The 17,995-nt window shown below is 40.1% G+C and overlaps 1 protein-coding gene across 4 annotated transcripts in view, besides 1 other annotated feature; it reads right to left on the bottom strand.

The window, feature by feature from the left end:
• Positions 1 to 17,995, bottom strand: part of WWOX (WW domain containing oxidoreductase) — a 1,113,014-nt gene that overhangs the window by 1,074,689 nt on the left and 20,330 nt on the right. The window lies entirely within an intron of this gene.
• Positions 2,942 to 3,111: an enhancer, noted in NCBI's record as "experimental_45974 CRE fragment used in MPRA reporter constructs". NCBI's record gives its function as "activates a minimal promoter by MPRAs in K562 erythroleukemia cells, with activity observed for the non-introgressed 16:78168850 variant allele {active_cell/tissue: K562}" and the evidence as "EXISTENCE:reporter gene assay evidence [ECO:0000049][PMID:34662402]".

Genomic DNA, 17,995 nt, shown 5'->3' with positions numbered 1-17,995 from the left:
TTGCTCACCCACTCTGTTCCTTTCACTTCCTCTTGTGCTGTTTGTGATATCCACACACTATGGATAAGATTTAGGTCTAAACGGATAAGGAAAAAGACCTGCTTTCATATATCAATTCTATTAAGAGTATGGATACTGCTCAAGTACAGCACATAGAGCCATAGCTTTGCAAAAAACTTTTATTATCTGTTGACAATTTTGCACACTACCTAAGAGCTGTCAAATAAAACAGGCCAATTTTTATCAAACTCCCAAAGTGGAACAGAGACCACAACAACTTTAGAATCCCTCAGCAGACTGTTTCAGGAATCTAAAACCCAAGCAAACCCTTTTTCCCTGTTTCATATGACGGTGCATCTTAACCCAGCTCCTTTTTACCTACAAAGAAAAACGGTAATTCCCTCTGTGGCGGCATATATATGAAGTCATCCATAAGAAGAAAATAAGAACTTGGTCCTAGACACAAAACAATACGTAAGGAAATTCCTCATGGACTAACACAAGCGGTCAGACACCACACTAGTTGCTTTCATTCCACCTTGTCGAATTCTCACAACTCTGTGATGCTGACGTCATGGTTCCCATTTTACAGATGAGGAAACTGAGACTCCGGGGTGAAAGATACTGTGCCAGGCCCCAGAATTGGCAAGCTGGAAAGCATAGACGTCAAAACAGCACGTCTAGTTATCGGAGGGTGAGGATTCACAATCCAAAAGAAAACTAGGGGGTGGACACACATTTACGTTGCAGTCTTATTTCCCAAGGCGTCATAATTTTCATCACTCTCTTATTGGTTGCAGGAGGAAAAAGGCATCTTCTCCATTTCAGATGTGTCTTTCTGGGTGAAGGGATCTCCATTTGCGTTAACATCCCTGACCCCCTCTGCCACTCACTTATTCCTGCTCAAGGGAGCTGATCCAACTTATGTTGTGAATGGTATGTGAATGGTAATTCCAGGATTGAGAACCGGGCACACGCAGCTCTGCCTCTCCTCTCCTCTTACAGAGAGCACACACCCTGCTCTCCTGCACTGTCTTGAACATGCTGCATGAATGGGGTCTGCCCTCTGCGAAGGTCTGGCCTGACCTAGCACTGACCCATTACCCTGTCTAATTGTGGTGGTCAGGATTAGAAAGCCCACCAGCTCACACAGCTATACATATTCTCCAGTATCAGCTTCATGAATGACTCAGGTGATGTTTTGGTCTTCCATTTGCCTAATGGGTGGTCTTACTGCTCAGTTAGGTAGTAACTTGGGAAAGGGAAACTGTGTTATTTGATAGACCTCTTAAAACCCAAACATCTCTTTACAGGTTAACGAACCAACCTGTGCTTAGATTTCTCTAGTGAGAGTAAAAAGCTCTACGTTCCTCAAGTCTCTGTAATTTAAGAATAACACGGCTACACATTTCATTTCAGTTTGAAACTCATAAACAGATGTGATATGACAGCACTTTATTAGGTTTTGTCCTCTAGATTTGAAAGAGCTCACAGGCCCCATGATGAAGACTAGATCCAGTAAGGTCTAAAGAGAGAGACATGACTCAATGAACACCAAAGCAGACACCCAGGAAACAGCATCCTTTGCTCACCCTGTCCTGGGAATCAAATAAGCCTGTTATGAATCTGAATGTATATTACAAGCAAATACTATTTTTCCAGCTACACGTTCTTCCTTGTTTCACTGTATCACAATAATTTTTTAAAAGCATAGGGATATCATGAAATCCCTTGCTTTGTAGAAGATTCCATTATAAGAGTAATCATTATTGAACCTTTTAGCCCAGATGTAATTTCTTACATGTTACAACAAGTTTGGCACGCATTGTGAATTTCAGCCAAGGTTGATAAAGTTCAATAACTTGGCTAACCAACCATGTGTACTACTCATTATAGAAGTAATAAATAGATTCATCAAAATGGACATGAAAAAGCCATAAGAAAATCGGATGCCATTTCCAGCCTGCCTCATAAAAGCACCTCTTGGACTTTAATATAATTTTATATATAGTTATCACAACTGCCCATCATTCAACACCAGGCATCTATAAAACAATCACCCACCCACATTTGCATGCTGAATAAATTCCAGCTACAAAGGTGAATTCTCTATTCTAGACGTCTCAAAAGTCACATAGAGGTACATGTGCTTATATGTTCAACTCCCAAAAGGACTGACAAGTAAAAAAGGAATCACAGATCGACATGTCATTTTCCCTGCTATTATCTTTTTGAGTCAGTTTTAGTGGAAGGTGTTTTTTTTGTTGTTTGTTGTTGTTGTTTTGTTTTTTTTTCAGTAATACTGTCAGTCTAATTATTCTCATAGCCTATTGGTAATTGAAAAATTTAGTAGAAAGAAAAGAAAGCCTGATTTAGATAAATGTCATGGATAGAAAAAAGAAATCTAAGTTCACAGAATGGAAGAATCTCCTATGATTAAATGTGCAGAAGTCAGTAAAGCTGGCTTCTATAATAATATCTAAACAACATTAACAAAATTGAATTTAGAAGATTTGAATTGAAGATAACTTCAGCAACTGTATAGTTAAAAATCCAGATTCTGCCTACTGTACGTCTTTTATGCTTCTAAAAGGAAACTCAGACTCTATTAGACATTCAAGGAAACTAAAGCTTCCCCTCCTTCTCAGAAAGAAATAGTCCCTCACACTTGGTAAACCACAGTAGAGCTCTAGTGTCAAGCTCTAAACTAAACATGAAAAGGCACGTGGTACATTTCAAACACTGTCATGTGAACACTTTGCTAGGTAAATAACGACTCTTGAGTTGTTGCACGTGGGTGAGTTTTCTCTGCATCCCAAGACGGGAAGCCTGAGGGTGGAATCTGCATCCTCTATTTCTCAGCAAGGCCCCATCTTCATTTACAGGAATGGTGGGAGTCAGGTTTGTCTGTATTGCAGGGACTGCATTGTTATGGCACTGGGATTTTTCAATGCGCAGGTGACACCCTTTCTATCTGTGCATTGCTTCTGCCCTCTCCCGTTCTCACTGTGCCATCAGCACCATTTGTCACCAGAAATGTCCCCAGGCTTCAGTGAAATGCTTTCTTCTGGATTTTCTCTCTTGCGTATCTATCCACAGTGGGATCACCATATGACAATATTACCAATATCCTCACACTCTCCTGGTTCTTTTCACATCTAACATGGAGAAAAACATAGATCAAGCTTTCTAAAACCAACGTTATACTCTTAACAACAAGGAAAATATCTCCTGCCATTAATTGCAAACAACACCTAAATGATCCCAAGTTTGGCCAAATATTGTGAGTTTTTCACTTGCCATAAGCAGCTCATAACAACAGTGGAGTGCTTTATTTTCTCAACAAGTTAACAAATGCCTGATGTTTCCAAGAGCTTAAATACTATAATGGCAGATATTGATGTACAGAAATTAAAGTAAAATATGAAACTAAACAGAGAATGAAGAGATAAGCCAGAGGTGTGCTCTGAATAAAAGAAGTAATGAAAAGGAAAAATTTCATACCAATTGTCATAATAAAAACAAAGGCTAAAGGCAACTAAGAGAAGAGGGGCTCAACGGTTCCCAAAAAGACTTACAGAATAGGTAAAATTCAGCAGGCATTGCGAAGTATTCACTGCACCCAAAAAAAAAAATAGTCTTTGCAAAGTCTGTACTATTGTTGACTGCAATGCCCACCATTAAAAATATGGTTAAATTTCTAAAGAAAGACTTCTGACAGCCATCCAGAAATGCTATCAATAATAGCAGATAGCTTTCTATCACATGGTTTTAAAATAAAGCCATCCTGCTAGCATGTTGACTCTAAAATCCAATGCTAATATTTGAGCAACTAGTAAAGTCAACATTAACAATGTTTGCCATTTCTTATTCGTCACAAGGGTTAGTTCTCCTAACCAACATGAGAAACACAGACACATAGAGCCGTACCATACAAAAGCAATTCTTTAAGGAAACAGTCTAGGTACATTGAAGAAAACACATCTTAGGGATAATACCTGTGCAAGAGGCACAAAATCTCTTAAGAAGATGGAAGGCATCTACAGTCCATTGACTGTAAATTTGGAATCACTTATTTCTAAATGTGACAACTCTCTAATATTTTTCTTCCCTTGCAAGCTCAGCTCAGCCTTGCAGGTATCTCCCTTGCTTTTGTGAGCTAGCTTCCCCAGGATTCTACTTCTACGCATGACATGCAGTCTGGAGGTTCTAGCAGTCTGATTTTTCTATTCATTGAAAGTCATGAGCATTTGTTCCTCAGGGGTTAATTTGAAATTATTTCAGGCCAGGCATGGTGGCTCATGTCTGTGATTCCACTACTTTGGGAGGCCGAGGCGGGTGGATCACCTGAGGTCAGGAGTTCCAGACCAGCCTGGCCAACATGGTGAAACCCCATCTCTACTAAAAATACAAAAATCAGCTAGGCATGGTGGCGTGAGCCTGTAATCCCAGCACTTTGGGAGGCCAAGGCGGGCAGATCACTTGAGGTTAGGAGTTCAAGACCAGCCTGGCCAACATGGTGAAACCCCGTCTCTAATAAAAATACAAAAATTAGCTGGACGTGGTGGCACACACCTGTTGTCCCAGCTAGTTGGGAAGCTGAAGCAGGAGAATCTCCTTTACCCAGGAGGTGGACCTTGCACTGAGCCGAGATTGAGCCACTGCACTCAAGCCTGGGTGACAGTGCAAGACTCCATCTTTCAAAAAAAGTAAAAATAAATAAAATTTTCACTTTCAGGTACTTCTCAGTTTAAACATAACACGCGGATAAGGTTTTTTAAAAAGCATCCTTTGAAAAGTTAAATATGATTAAATTCTTCAATCCAAACAAGACTAGCTTTATAACCAGTAATACACGGCATGTAGAAGTCACTCCCTCAAGGTTGATGGTGAGATCTTAATTTGGCTAACCCTTCCATTTTACATAATAAGAAGTAAAAAGTTTGCTTGGAATTTGTAGATCCAAATACCATCCAGAAACATGACCGCTTTCCCTGCAGCCTTGACAGAATGTAAAATCATAAGCTGAAGTGACGATTCTCTACTTCATGTTCAAATACTGTGCTTTGCAGCTGCCACCCCATTTGAGAAGCTGGGAAATGGAATGGAGCAAATAAGAATTATGGCAATTATAAAACCTCCCTGGTATAGATTGTCAGATTAATAACCAGCATTAGCAGAGCTCAGCTACACCATCAGCACGTGAGAATCGAAGAGCCCAGAGCTACAGGGCTAAGTCGTAACAGGAGCAAAGCAAAGAAGCCAACTAAAAGAAACCCAGCCAGAACTGTAAAAGAAATCTGCCCACAAAATAAAATGGGTAAGGCTGCCACTCAGACTAGCTACTCATTTTTAGCACATACCATCTCAAGAGTACATAAACTGCTCAGGTTATAAGCATGGACTGGACATCAAGATACTGGATGACCTTTTAAAAAATCATCACATGGCCGCATACGTATTAACAAAAGGCAAGCAATGGAAGCGTGATTAATATAAATTACAGAAGAAGCAATTAAACTTGACCACAGATACACACATTTGTTCAAGCTGATGGTGACTCTGCACTCACTCCATACCTACTGTAGATTTTGCTTTTCTTTATAGTTACTCAGAAGATGCATAATTGGAAATAAAGGTTAAGAAAAATCAAGGCCGGGCGTGGTGGCTCACGCCTGTAATCCCAGCACTTTGGGAGGCTGAGGTGGGCAGATCACGAGGTCAGGAGATCAAGACCATCCTTGCTAACACGGTGAAACCCCGTCTCTACTAAAAAATACAAAAAAATTAGCCGGGCGTGGTGGCGGGCACCTGTAGTCCCAGCTACTCGGGAGGCTGAGGCAGGAGAATGGCGTGAACCCGGGAGGTGGAGCTTGCAGTGAGCCAAGATAGCACCACTGCACTCCAGCCTGGGCGACAGAGTGAGACTCTGTCTCAAAAAAAAAAAAAAAGAAAAAGAAAAAGAAAAAAGAAAAATCAGAGACTAGTAGTAAGACTTAATGAGAGTGTCATTCAAAATAGCAAAAGTTCTTTTTAACTTATAAGAACATATTTGCTGTTAGATGTTTCCTCAAGTATGAAAAAAAAAAAATCCTTGCCAGGCGCGGTGGCTCACGCCTGTAATCCCAGCACTTTGGGAGGCCGACGTAGGAGGATCACGAGGTCAGGAGTTCAACACCGTCCTGGCCAACATGGTGAAACCCCATCTCTACTAAAAATACAAAAAAAATAGCTGGGCGTGGTGGCACACACACCTGTAATCCCAGCTACTCAGGAGGCTGAGGCAGGAGAATCGCTTGAACCTGGGACGTGGAGGTTGCAGTGAGCCAAGATCGGGCCATTGCACTCCATCCTGGGCGACAGAGTGAGACTCCATCTCAAAAAAGAAAAAAAAAACATTTTAGTATCCTGTACTTTTAAATACAAATAGAAATACAGAAATAATTAGAAACTACCCAGAGTTTCGCCAGATGTGGTGGCTCACACCTGTAATCCCAGTACTTTGGGAGGCTGAGGCAAGTGTACTGCTTGAGCCCACGAGTTCAAGACCAGCATGGGCAACATAGCAAGACCTCATCTCTATTAAAAATACAAAAGAAATTAGCCAGGAATGGTGGTGCATGCCTGTAGTCCAAGCTACTCAGGAGGCTGAGGTGAGAGGATCACTTGGCCCAGGAGGGAGAGGCTACAGTGAGCTATGATCACGCTGATGCACTGAAGCCTGGGTAACAGAGCAAGACCCTGTCTCACAAAAGCGAATCAATTTAAATGTTCTCTAGAAGCACAAAGATCAAGCTGCTGGTACAGTCACACACTGCATAACAACACATTGGTCAACAATGGAGTGCAGATACAACGGCGGTCCCATAAGATTACAACACTGTATTTTTACTGTACCACTTCTGTGTTTAGATACACAAATACTTACCATTGTGTTATGACTGCCTATAGTATTCAGTTCGGTACCATGCTATACAAGTTTGCAGCCTGGAAGCAACAGGCTATCCCATACAGCCTCTGTGTATAATGGGTTATACCACGTAGGATTTGTAAGTACATCCTATGAGGGTTGCACAACGATGACACTGCCTGACACACTTCTCAGATCATATCTCTGTCATTCAGTGAAGCTGACTGCATTTTGGTGTGTTTTGTATCCTCCACAAGGGCAGGGACCCTGCCTGTTTCTACACTGAAGTCTTAGCACCTGGTACTCAGTAGTCAATAAATGTTTGTTAATTGCACAAAAGACTGAATAAGGGCGTGGCAGTGGCTATGAGCCAGTGAGTCCAATATCATCACACAGTTTTCATTGCAGACTCTAAACCAAGCTCAAGCCTCTACAGGAAGCAGGCAGGTAAACTGACCATGGAAAATAGCCTGTGCCTGCCTACAGGGGGTCAGCCTATAGGAACAGCTCTGTTCAACCTCAGTGCAACTATGTTCCTTGATAGACATAAGCCATAGTCAGCTGAAGCTGCAGCAACAAAATATCATGGACCGAGTGGCTTAAATAGCAGACATTTCTTTAACACAGTTCTGGAGGCTTAAAGTCCAAGGTCAAGGTGGCAGCATGGTCACGTTCTTGGGGAGGGCCCTCCTACTAGTTACAGATGGCTGCCTTCCCACTGTGTTCTCACATTCACATAGCTTAAGGAAAGTTAGCTACCTTTCTATCCTCTTCTCATCAGGGCACAAATCTTACTTATGAGGGCTCCACCCTCATGATCTAATCACCTCCCAGAGGCCCCTGTATTAGTCTGTTTTCATGCTGCTATAAGGACATATCGAAGACTGGGAAATTTATAAAGGAAAGAGGTTTAATTGACTCACAGTTCCACGTGGCTGGGGAGACCTCAGGAAACTTACAATCATGGCAGGAGAGGAAGCAAACACGTCCTTCTTCACATGACAGCAGTAAGAGAAGTGCCAAGCAAAAGGGAAGAAAGCCCCTTATAAAACCATCAGATCTCATGAGAACTCACTCATTATCGTGAGAACAGCATGATTCAATTATCTCCCACCGGGTCCCTCCCACAAGACATGGGGATCATGGGAACTATAGTTCAAGATGAGATTTCAGTGGGGACACAACCATGTCCAAATACCATGACCTTAAGATTAGGGTTTCAACATAGGAATTTTTGGGGAAGACATAAACATTTAGTCTACAATACTCATTCTGATTTTTCAAAACTGTCATAAATCTACATTTAAGTAAAATATCCTGATTTTAGTATGCTGGCAAGTAGTCTGACAAAAAAAAAAAGAAAAAAAATCCCACTATAGACCATTTTTGTGTGGTCCATACAAAAAACATCTGGAGGCCAGATCCAGGCTCCAGGCCACCAACCAGTTCTTACCTCTGTCCTAAAGGCTGATTGGGAAGCTTTACCCTTGAGCTTATGGAAATAAGCAAACACAAAAATGTCCACCTCCCTTAATCACTATCACATGACAATGGACTGCACACACAACGGCAGTCCCATAAGATTACAACACTGTATTTTTACTGAACCATTTCTATGTTTAGATACACAAATACTTAACACTGTGTTATGACTGCCTATAATCTTAGGTTTGCAGCATAGAAGCACCGAGTTTGTGGTGGTCCATTATAGTAGCAACAGGACATTAATACACCTTCCCAATAATTAAGTAAACATGTAAGGAACATACAAGTGAGATGCAAACATGTGTACACTCGGGTAAGTCAATCACTAACAGCGTCGCGATGATGACACACCAACAAGACTAGCTTTCCCAAATCCCTCCCGGATCAGGCCAGCAGGAAATAAAAAAGAAACACTGGGCAAGTGGCGACGCTAACCCTGGGAGGAAAAAGGTCCTCGTGCACACAGGCTGACAGCTCCCAAGTCAGCTTTTCAGGCTGAAAGGATGGTATCCCTTGCCAAAAATCTGACTCCACACCCTGACTGAGATGTTCCCCATATGGATCTACTACAGAGCTCTCTACCTTGTCAAACACTCAATCTAGTAACTGTACGTGAACTTAGAATTGAAACTTCCTTTGCTAATAGATAAAGCTGTAACAGCATTTTTAATGCCATTTGGAATGTACTGATGATCTCTCAGCTGATAGAAGCTTCTCAAACCTAGCTGCTGAATTTAGAAGCCACAGCTGCCTTGCTGTATCACACAGCCACACAGTAAAATCAAAGGCAGTTGGAAGACATTATATTGCAAGATACAAAAAGTTTTGAGAGTTCATCCTTATAGCCAATGGTGGCTGACACAGCGGAGTCTCTCCATTTGAAAGAGATTGATTATTTTCATTCTTTTGCTTTGTGTGATCACCAGGAAAAAGAGTTTCTATAATCAAGATGTGGCCAGCAATTCTGTTGATGTTATATAAGCAAGGAGCATCCCGTTTGTGTCTGAATCCCCAATCAGTATCTAAATTCGTGCTGCACTGTGAGCAGAAGTAAGGACCTGGGCAGGTGAAACTTAAGGCAAGCAGGAAGAAATCGCATCACCCAAGAACTCGCAACATTTCCACCTGTGTAATCTCAACACAACTGCAACCCACAGAAGTTTCTGCCTCTGCAGGTTCCCTTCTTATTGAATCAAGTTTCTGCTCCTGAATATCTGGCTAGAGTCAGAGCCTGTCAACTTTAAATGAGATCGCATCATTAAAATTTTAGTCATCACCACCCAGTCAATTGCATGACATGCAACCCTGTTACCGGACATCCGGTTCACTTCGTAAACCCTGAAGAAGATATTTGCAGAAACCTCTCCCCATATCCTAACAACAACAAAAAAAAAAAGTCAAGAGCTCTTATTTTATTCTTTCCATTAAGGAATTAAATTACTCTCTTCCTCCATCTTCTTCCAACCCTAATCTTCCCTTTAGGAGTCTTTCTTCTATAACTATGATTTTTCCCCAAACGCCAGCAACCTTATATTCATACACTATTGGACTTCTTCATTACAGCATTTCACACATTGTTTTACTTGATCTGTACAAAACAGTATGTGACAGAGAAGTTATTATTCTCTTGAATTTACAAACGAGGAAATTAAGGCTCAGATGGTTAAGTGACTTGCCTTAAGTCACCCAAGTTAAGGACAATCTGTGTCAAATTACAGCTCTCTTCCTACCATGTCCAGTAGACGCCAATAAAACTGTCCTACCTTTTTAAGTGGCAATAAAACTATATTCAAACACTGACACTTTTTGGATATGATCAAAAAAATAGGACAGCAAAGTTGAGCATTTCTACTTAATACACCAGGCAGTCCTATAAACTATCACAAACTTGGGTGAACAAGTGTGCTAATGCAGAACTCTCAGTAAAAAAGATGTTACCATGATGCATGGTATAACGGTTTTAAAGAATAATAGTTTTCCTTCTCTTTTTCCCCCAAGTTTAATATATCCCTTTTTGTTCCTTGACTGTAACAAAAATAACCTCGTCTCGGTGGTTTTTTTTTTTTTCCGTTGATTATTCTTTTCTGGATGAAAGCTACTGACCTCCAGCCAAAAAAATTCTAAAATGTTTTCCTTCATACCAAAGACAAGCCAGTGTCTAAAGCAGTTATTTATACAGGTCATTTTAGGACAAATTCACAGAGATTATGGCAGCCTCTTGAGGATCTGGGAACCAGGAAGCTAGGAAAATACCAAACTAATTTCACTGGTAACTCGATCCTCTTGCCTCCCATTCCAGAAATGGCTACACGTTATTAAACGCCTGCAATGATGAGTAGACAATTCCCTGGGCACTCTGGAGTTCCCATCTTTAACAACTTTGCAAAGTAGGAGTACTGTCCATATTGCACAGAGGTGGAACAGGAGTTCTGAGAAGGAAAGTAACTTGCTCGGGTCATACAGATAGGAAGTGGTTATCCCAGGTTTCAAAACTAGGTCACGTCTGCTTCCAGAGTCAGTGTTCCTCTCCTACATCTTTCCAGATAGAAACTTGCTACCAATGAAGCTTGCCCTAACTGTCAGCGAAGCTATTTTCAGCAATGGTACAATTTCTCCACCTGAAAGCAGGCTCATCAAATGAGAGAATGCATAGAAAAGCTCTGAAGCGCTGTTACTGTCATTAATAGAAGATCTAGGGGAAATTTGCATAACCAAAGTAATCAAATCTTGCCTACTGTGTCATCTTGGGACTCCACCACCATTGCAAAGCCAGACAAGTTTAAGTTTTTTGGGGTATTCCCTCCTTAAATGCGGGTACCAAAGCAACAGTGCCTTTGATTTGAGTTGCAGCTGGCATAATAGACAAGATGTGTGCTTAAAAGATTTTAGTGAAGCAAACTGAGGAGTTAGGCCAATTTCTTTCTCTGTGAATTTCCTCTTGATCACAGGATTGAACAGGTACTTAAAGTAATAGACACTTTATAAATTAACTTCTAAGGGACATTTTGAAAATTAAATGATAGCACATGAGGCAAGCAATCAATTAGTAATCGATACATATCCAATAGTCATGCATATAAGATGAAAGGGCAATTCGTTAAAAAACAAATGGCCCGACATAAGAAAAGCCTATCAATCTTGCTAATCATCAGAGATAGGCAAATTTAAGTGATATTTTTTAAAAATTCTAATTCTCAAGTTTGGCAAGGATGCTGGGCAAAGGAGCATTCAAATTGGTACAATCTTCCAGGGCAGTTTGACAAAACAAATCAAGATATTAAGGTTGGGGAGCAAATCACTTCATTCAGCAATTCCACTTCCACAAAATAAAACTATAGAAGAGTCACGGATGGGTACAAACATTTAATTACAAAATGTGCTTCTCCATTCCACAGCTATTAAAAAGCTGGAAACCACCCGAATGTACCACACTGGGAGAAGAGCTGGAACCACATAATGGAATACTATGCAGCCATTTAAGATGTGGAGTATTTAACAACACAGAAAGATAATCACAATTTAAATAGAAAAATCACGAAAGAAGGGAAAACATGCTTACAATCATACATGCTAAATATTAATAGTATACTTCTAACTGGTAAGAATTGGGGTTTTTTTAAATCTTTTATTCTTATTTTTATTTTTCTTCGCTTTCTAAATTTTCCATAAGGAATACATGTTAATCACAATAACCTTTAAAATAATTACTTATATTAAATGAGAAGGCACATCAAGCTAATCTAGCCTAACACCTGGCATATACAGGCGCTTGATGAATGCTACTTCCCATTCCCCCAGACTTATTCCTTAATGTTTGTTTTACAATCATAATACCAAAGTGGTTTTGGTAAAGAAAGCTTCAGCTTTTAAAAAAAATTTGATTTGGTAGAGATGGGGTCTTGCTATGTTGCCCAGGCTGCTCTCGAACCCCTGAGCTCAAGCAATCCTCCTGCCTCAGCCTCCCAAAGGGCTGGGTTTACAGGCGTGAACCACCATGCCCACTCCTAAGCTTCAGCTTCTGAATCCAGGATCCAATGCAGTCTGGAAATGACATCTGCCTTGGCCCTCCCCGCAGATGCCACTCCCAGCACTTGACCGGGCACAGAGCGAGGCTTCACGGGTTTAAATAAATTGGTTGATTCCAAACTCAGGATTAACAAAATGAATGAGCTGCTTAGAAAGAGCTCATTCAGGAGTGTGCTGTTATTCCTCCCAACAGGATGGTGGCATGTACAGTGGAAGGGGCCCCAGGCACAGACTCAATTACCCTTTGATCTATCCTGCAGGCACCCGCCGCCCAAGACCTGTATGATCTCAAGCACGTTACCTCACCTCCCTTCTCTTTCCTTTCGACATTATCACAAGACAGCTGTAAGCACGGTGCTGAGAATTAAATATGACAAGTACGGAATCTTCATAAATTTTAAACGGCTATCAATGTAATACAACATGATAATCAATAAATACGAATCTGTAACAATTAAGTACATTGTAGAGGTAAGGGTAAAAATGAAAAACATTGTATTAGCTTTAACTTCAGTTTCTGTGCAACTACAGAAGAAATTTGATTCTGATTTTGTTCCTCTTTATATGAAATAAACTTCATACAAAAGGCTTAGCTCCGTTCATCTGGCTAGTTATCCTCCACCTAGGTAGAAATAGTAGAGACACTGAAATAGGTTTCCTCCCCGCCCCCATCTCTCTGTCTCAGATCTCCTCTTAGAGTCTAGTGAAGAAACCTTGTCTTGCTTTCAGAGAGCACCATATGACTATGGCTTCTAACATGAAGGCTCCAAAAATCACAAAAAGTAAAACCATCAAGCACAGCCTGGTGAGCAAATAACTCAAAGACTTAAAACAATTAGATTTAAACCTTGTCACACAATGCAACCCTTCCTATGCACCCCATTCAGTTAGGCTTGTGTAGACTGAGACCAGCTCTTCATGAAATGTACCGTTATTTATGAAGCCAAAGGGAGATCACAAATTTAGGCAAGAAACTAAAAGCGAGCTATTGGAACCTGCTTTTTGATCCATCTACTGGTGCCTTAATTTAAGACATCTTTCCAAGAAGGCCTCCTAGTGACCCCAACCTTATTTTGGAGAAGGCTGAGGATTCATATCTACTCATGTATAGGCTACAAAAGTCCAAGAAGGTCTGTGTCATACCAAACAGGCAACGGTCAAGGGGGTTTCAACTGTCAGCATCTTATTTATTATGAAGTCTATAATAATTCCCAGAATCGCCATCTAGTTTTAACAATTTATTAGATAAACAACGAACACACTCGTATATGAACAACCAAAATATCTTTACTCTGGTGAAATAGCTTTGCAATGTTACAAGTATATTCACAATGTTTTTCAGGCTCTTGCATTTTCAAAAGAGAAAAAGTTGCTGAAAAAAAAATTATATAAATAAAAGTATATAATATAGCATATTCGTTTTTGTCCCCATTTAAAAATTTGAAAATAAGCAGTTTTGTAAAGCCAAAGTGTATTCCTTTCTGGGCCAAATTTCTATTTGACAGCTGAAATATGCGATTAATGGGCTGCCTCAAACCATAATTACACAGCCAAAACAAAAATTACCCTCCCTAAGATTGTACATGGAGAACACTGGCTATCTGCTTCACATTAAGTAGCTGGTTTAATATGATCCCTCTTACTTAAGAAACATATACTGTACTGAGCCCAAAAGGACACGTTTTCTTCTACAGCAAGAATGTATCATTAATAAACAATTTAATTACAATAAATTATGTAACACTGGGTAAGGCTTGTAGCAGGGGGCAAGGGACACTATATTCTTAGAAAAAAACATAGGGTTGCGGGTGCAGTAGCTCACGCCTGTAATCGCAGCATTTTGGGAGGCCGAAACGGGTGGATCATGAGGTCAGGAGTTCAAGACCAGCCTGGCCAAGATGGTGAAACCCCATCTCTACTAAAAATACAAAAATTAGCCAGACGTGTTGGCAGGTGCCTGGACTCCCAGCTACTCGAGAGGCTGAGGCAGAAGAATTGCTTCAACCTGGGAGGCGAAGGTTGCAGTGAGCCAAGAATGCGCCACTGCACTCCAGCCTGGGCAACAGAGGAAGACTTCATCTCAAAAAAACAAAAAAAAAAAACAAAAAAAAAAAAAACAAAACAAAAAACAAAGAAAAAAACATAGGGTCACCAAGGCGTTCAAAATGAACCTTAAACAGAGGTATTAATACTTAAATATTACAATTTCCACTTAGGAAAAAAAAATCATATTATTGCTAGGCCAGCACACTCAAAAGCAATAATGTCATGAAAACACATGCCCTTGTGTGATTTGGCAGAACAGGCTGCTCCCTGAACACAATGGGCCTTTTTATTAAGTGGATCCCTTCATCCCTGGCATTTTATACAAACAAAACAAAAGAGAGAGAAAAAGAAACAAACACGACACTAGTAACAGTCTTCAGTTTGAACTTCATCACAGAGAATTAGAAGACCTAAAAGATATGTTAGAAAAGTAAAAGACATTATTTAACCAAAATGAAAGCAAGATGGACTGAGAGGAACAGAACTATATTGCAATGCTGCCTCTTTTGTTTAATTATATCAAAGGGCAACAGAGCCCTCTAGTGGAAAAAAATAAAAATATATAAAGATGGTTCTGCTTTTAGATTAAAGGAAATATGTACAACACCCCCGGGCATGGTGGCTAGTGTCTGTAATCCTAGCACTTTGGGAGGCCAAGGTGGGCGGATCACTTGAGTTCAGGAGTTCAAGACCAGCTTGGCCAACATGGTGAATCCCTGTCTCTACGAAAAATACAAAAATTAGCCGGACATAGTGGCTCACGCCTGTAATCCCAGCTATTCAGGAGGCTGAGGCAGGAGAATCACTTCAACCCGGGAGGCGGAGGTTGCAGTGAGCTGAGATCACGCCACTGCACTACAGCCTGGGTGACAGAGCAAGGCACCGTCTCAAAAAAAAAAAAAGAAAAAAAATGTAAAATAACATCTTCCATTACAATTTTTATTGTGCCACTCTATGATGTAAAAGCAAAAGATCAAATTATTTTAATTGGGTTTTAAGTAAAACAATTTCCAAGTTTTCAAGCTTTACGTAATGCTACAAAACCTCAAGTAGAACAAAAATCTATTATTAATTTTTTTAATTATGGGTTTGACCCACTTTGTCATTAAACAATAGTTTGTATGACTCTCATTTGTTATGCTGACACCATAAAAAAGTAATTAAAATCTAAACCTACATGCAGGCATGAAATTCAACTGATGGCCTCATGTGACAAAAAAGTTTCAGTTGAGATCTAATCAGGTTCACACTGACAGTAGCCCCCCCTTATCCTCGGGAGATGCGTTCCAAGACCCACAGTGATGCCTGAAAACTGGATAGTACCAAACCCTATGTATTCTATGCTTTCACCTATACATACATACCTAGGATAAATTTTAATTTATAAATTAGGCACAGTAAGAGATCAACAATAATAATAAAATAGAACTATAACAATGTACTGTATAAAAGTTATGTAAATGTGGTCTCTCACACTCTCTCTCTCTCAAAATTAGTATTTTCAGATGCCTGTTGACCTCAGGTAACTGAAACCTCAAAAAGTGAAACACGGGCCAGGCACAGCGGTTCACACCTGTAATCCCAGCATTTGGGGAGGTTGAGGCAAGCAGATTGCCTAATGTCAGGAGTTCAAGACCTGTATGGACAACATGGCAAAACCTTGTCTCTACTAAAAACATAAAATTAGTAGGGAGTGGTGGTGTGCACCTGTAATCCCAGCTACTCAGGAGGCTGAGACATGAGAATCACCAGGCCCTGGGAGACAAAGGTTGCAGTGAGCTGAGATCACGCCACTGTACTCCAGCCTGCGCAACAGAGTAATACTCTGACTCAAAAAAAAAAAAACTGAAACACCACGGATAAGGGGGGACTACTGTATACATGATTACAAATTTATTTTAAAAATATATATAACATACACACACCCCTATTATAAGCATTTTACATGAGATTACCAAATTATGAGATGATGCTCATTAGAATGTTTTAAATTGGTCTCTTCCTTTAGATATTTACTTCTCAAATACTTTGATCACGTGATTTCCATGTACACTCAATGTCCAATAATATCTCAGTGTAAAATGGTTAAGTCATAAGGTACTAATTCTCAATTTTTATATAATGTCATTTAAGGACTTTGTCTAACACTGTCAAGAATCTCCATAGTTTCTTAGAACAAAGTAACTTCAAAATAATTTTACTTACAATACCTGGGTATAATTTAGCATAAGATAATAGTAGGCACAAATGTTTTTAATTTAAAATGGAGTTCCAATGCCCAAAAGGTTATTTCGATTATTTCAGAATATTTTCCTTTCCTTAATGAGCACCAGGTTTTTAAAAAGATAAATGCCAAGATCCCACTAGTTTAAGTCTGGTCAACAATCAGAAAGGAAACTAATCAGGCATTTCAAGATCCCAAGTGCAATGATCTCATATGAGTGTGTTTTACCCATGAAAATGACTAAATGTAAGTTAGCTATGGCCCCAGATTTATGGGACCTTTTGGAATAACTAGAAAAAAAAAAACCATCAATGACATGCTTTAGGCTCAAAGGCAAAATTTAGTAACATTTAGGTATGGAAAAGAAAACAAAGAAGCAAAGGTGTAAAGGAAGCTGGCGTAGTCCATAATTGGGAAGTGTGGATTTAAAATCTTAGGAATGAATACCCTTCTCTACATGAAGAAAAAGTAATTTTCTTCTATTCACGTAGAACTGGTAAAATTTGCACAAGATATGAATTCATCGTGGTGACAATTTGTAGGATCAAAGAGTATGGCAACTACAGTTCACACTGTAATTTCAACACATGATTTAGAAACAAGACCCTAAGTTTTAAAAAGTAGGCTCTCTAAGCTAAGACAATCAATTTCAACATCACACTATAATTACATTTTGGGATTCCCTGCATGAAATTTTTTTTTTTTTTTTTTGAGACGGAGTCTCGCTCTGTCGCCCAGGCCGGACTGCGGACTGCAGTGGCGCAATCTCAGCTCACTGCAAGCTCCACTTCCCGGGTTCACGCCATTCTCCTGCCTCAGCCTCCCGAGTAGCTGGGACTACAGGCGCCCGCCACTGCGCCTGGCTAATTTTTTGTATTTTTAGTAGAGACGGGGTTTCACCTTGTTAGCCAGGATGGTCTCGATCTCCTGACCTCATGATCCACCCGCCTCGGCCTCTCAAAGTGCTGGGATTACAGGCGTGAGCCACCGCGCCCGGCTGAAATATTTATACCTTCATTTTGTTTCAAGGAAAACAAATTGAGGAGTGACCAATACCTTGAGCACGTACTTTTTATACCTCAAAATATATACATTTTGATATGTAAGTATGCATATATATAGGTCCATGTAATACACGTTAGAGAGGTGATTTTGTGACATAAGTACCAATAGAAAATGCAAGTGTCAGTCCCAAAATATATTTCACTGGTATTTACCAGTGTGGCCAGCTTGTATTTGTTTGCAGGAAAAAAAGTTTTGTTTCTGTTAATGGGTCCTTTGGCTCAAAAACTGTAACGAAGCTA

This window comes from Homo sapiens, chromosome 16 (genome assembly GCF_000001405.40).
Source record: "Homo sapiens chromosome 16, GRCh38.p14 Primary Assembly".
Lineage (NCBI taxonomy): Eukaryota > Metazoa > Chordata > Mammalia > Primates > Hominidae > Homo > Homo sapiens.
The sequence above is the reverse complement of the archived record's forward strand: the minus strand, read 5'-3'. Positions and strand labels throughout refer to the sequence as shown.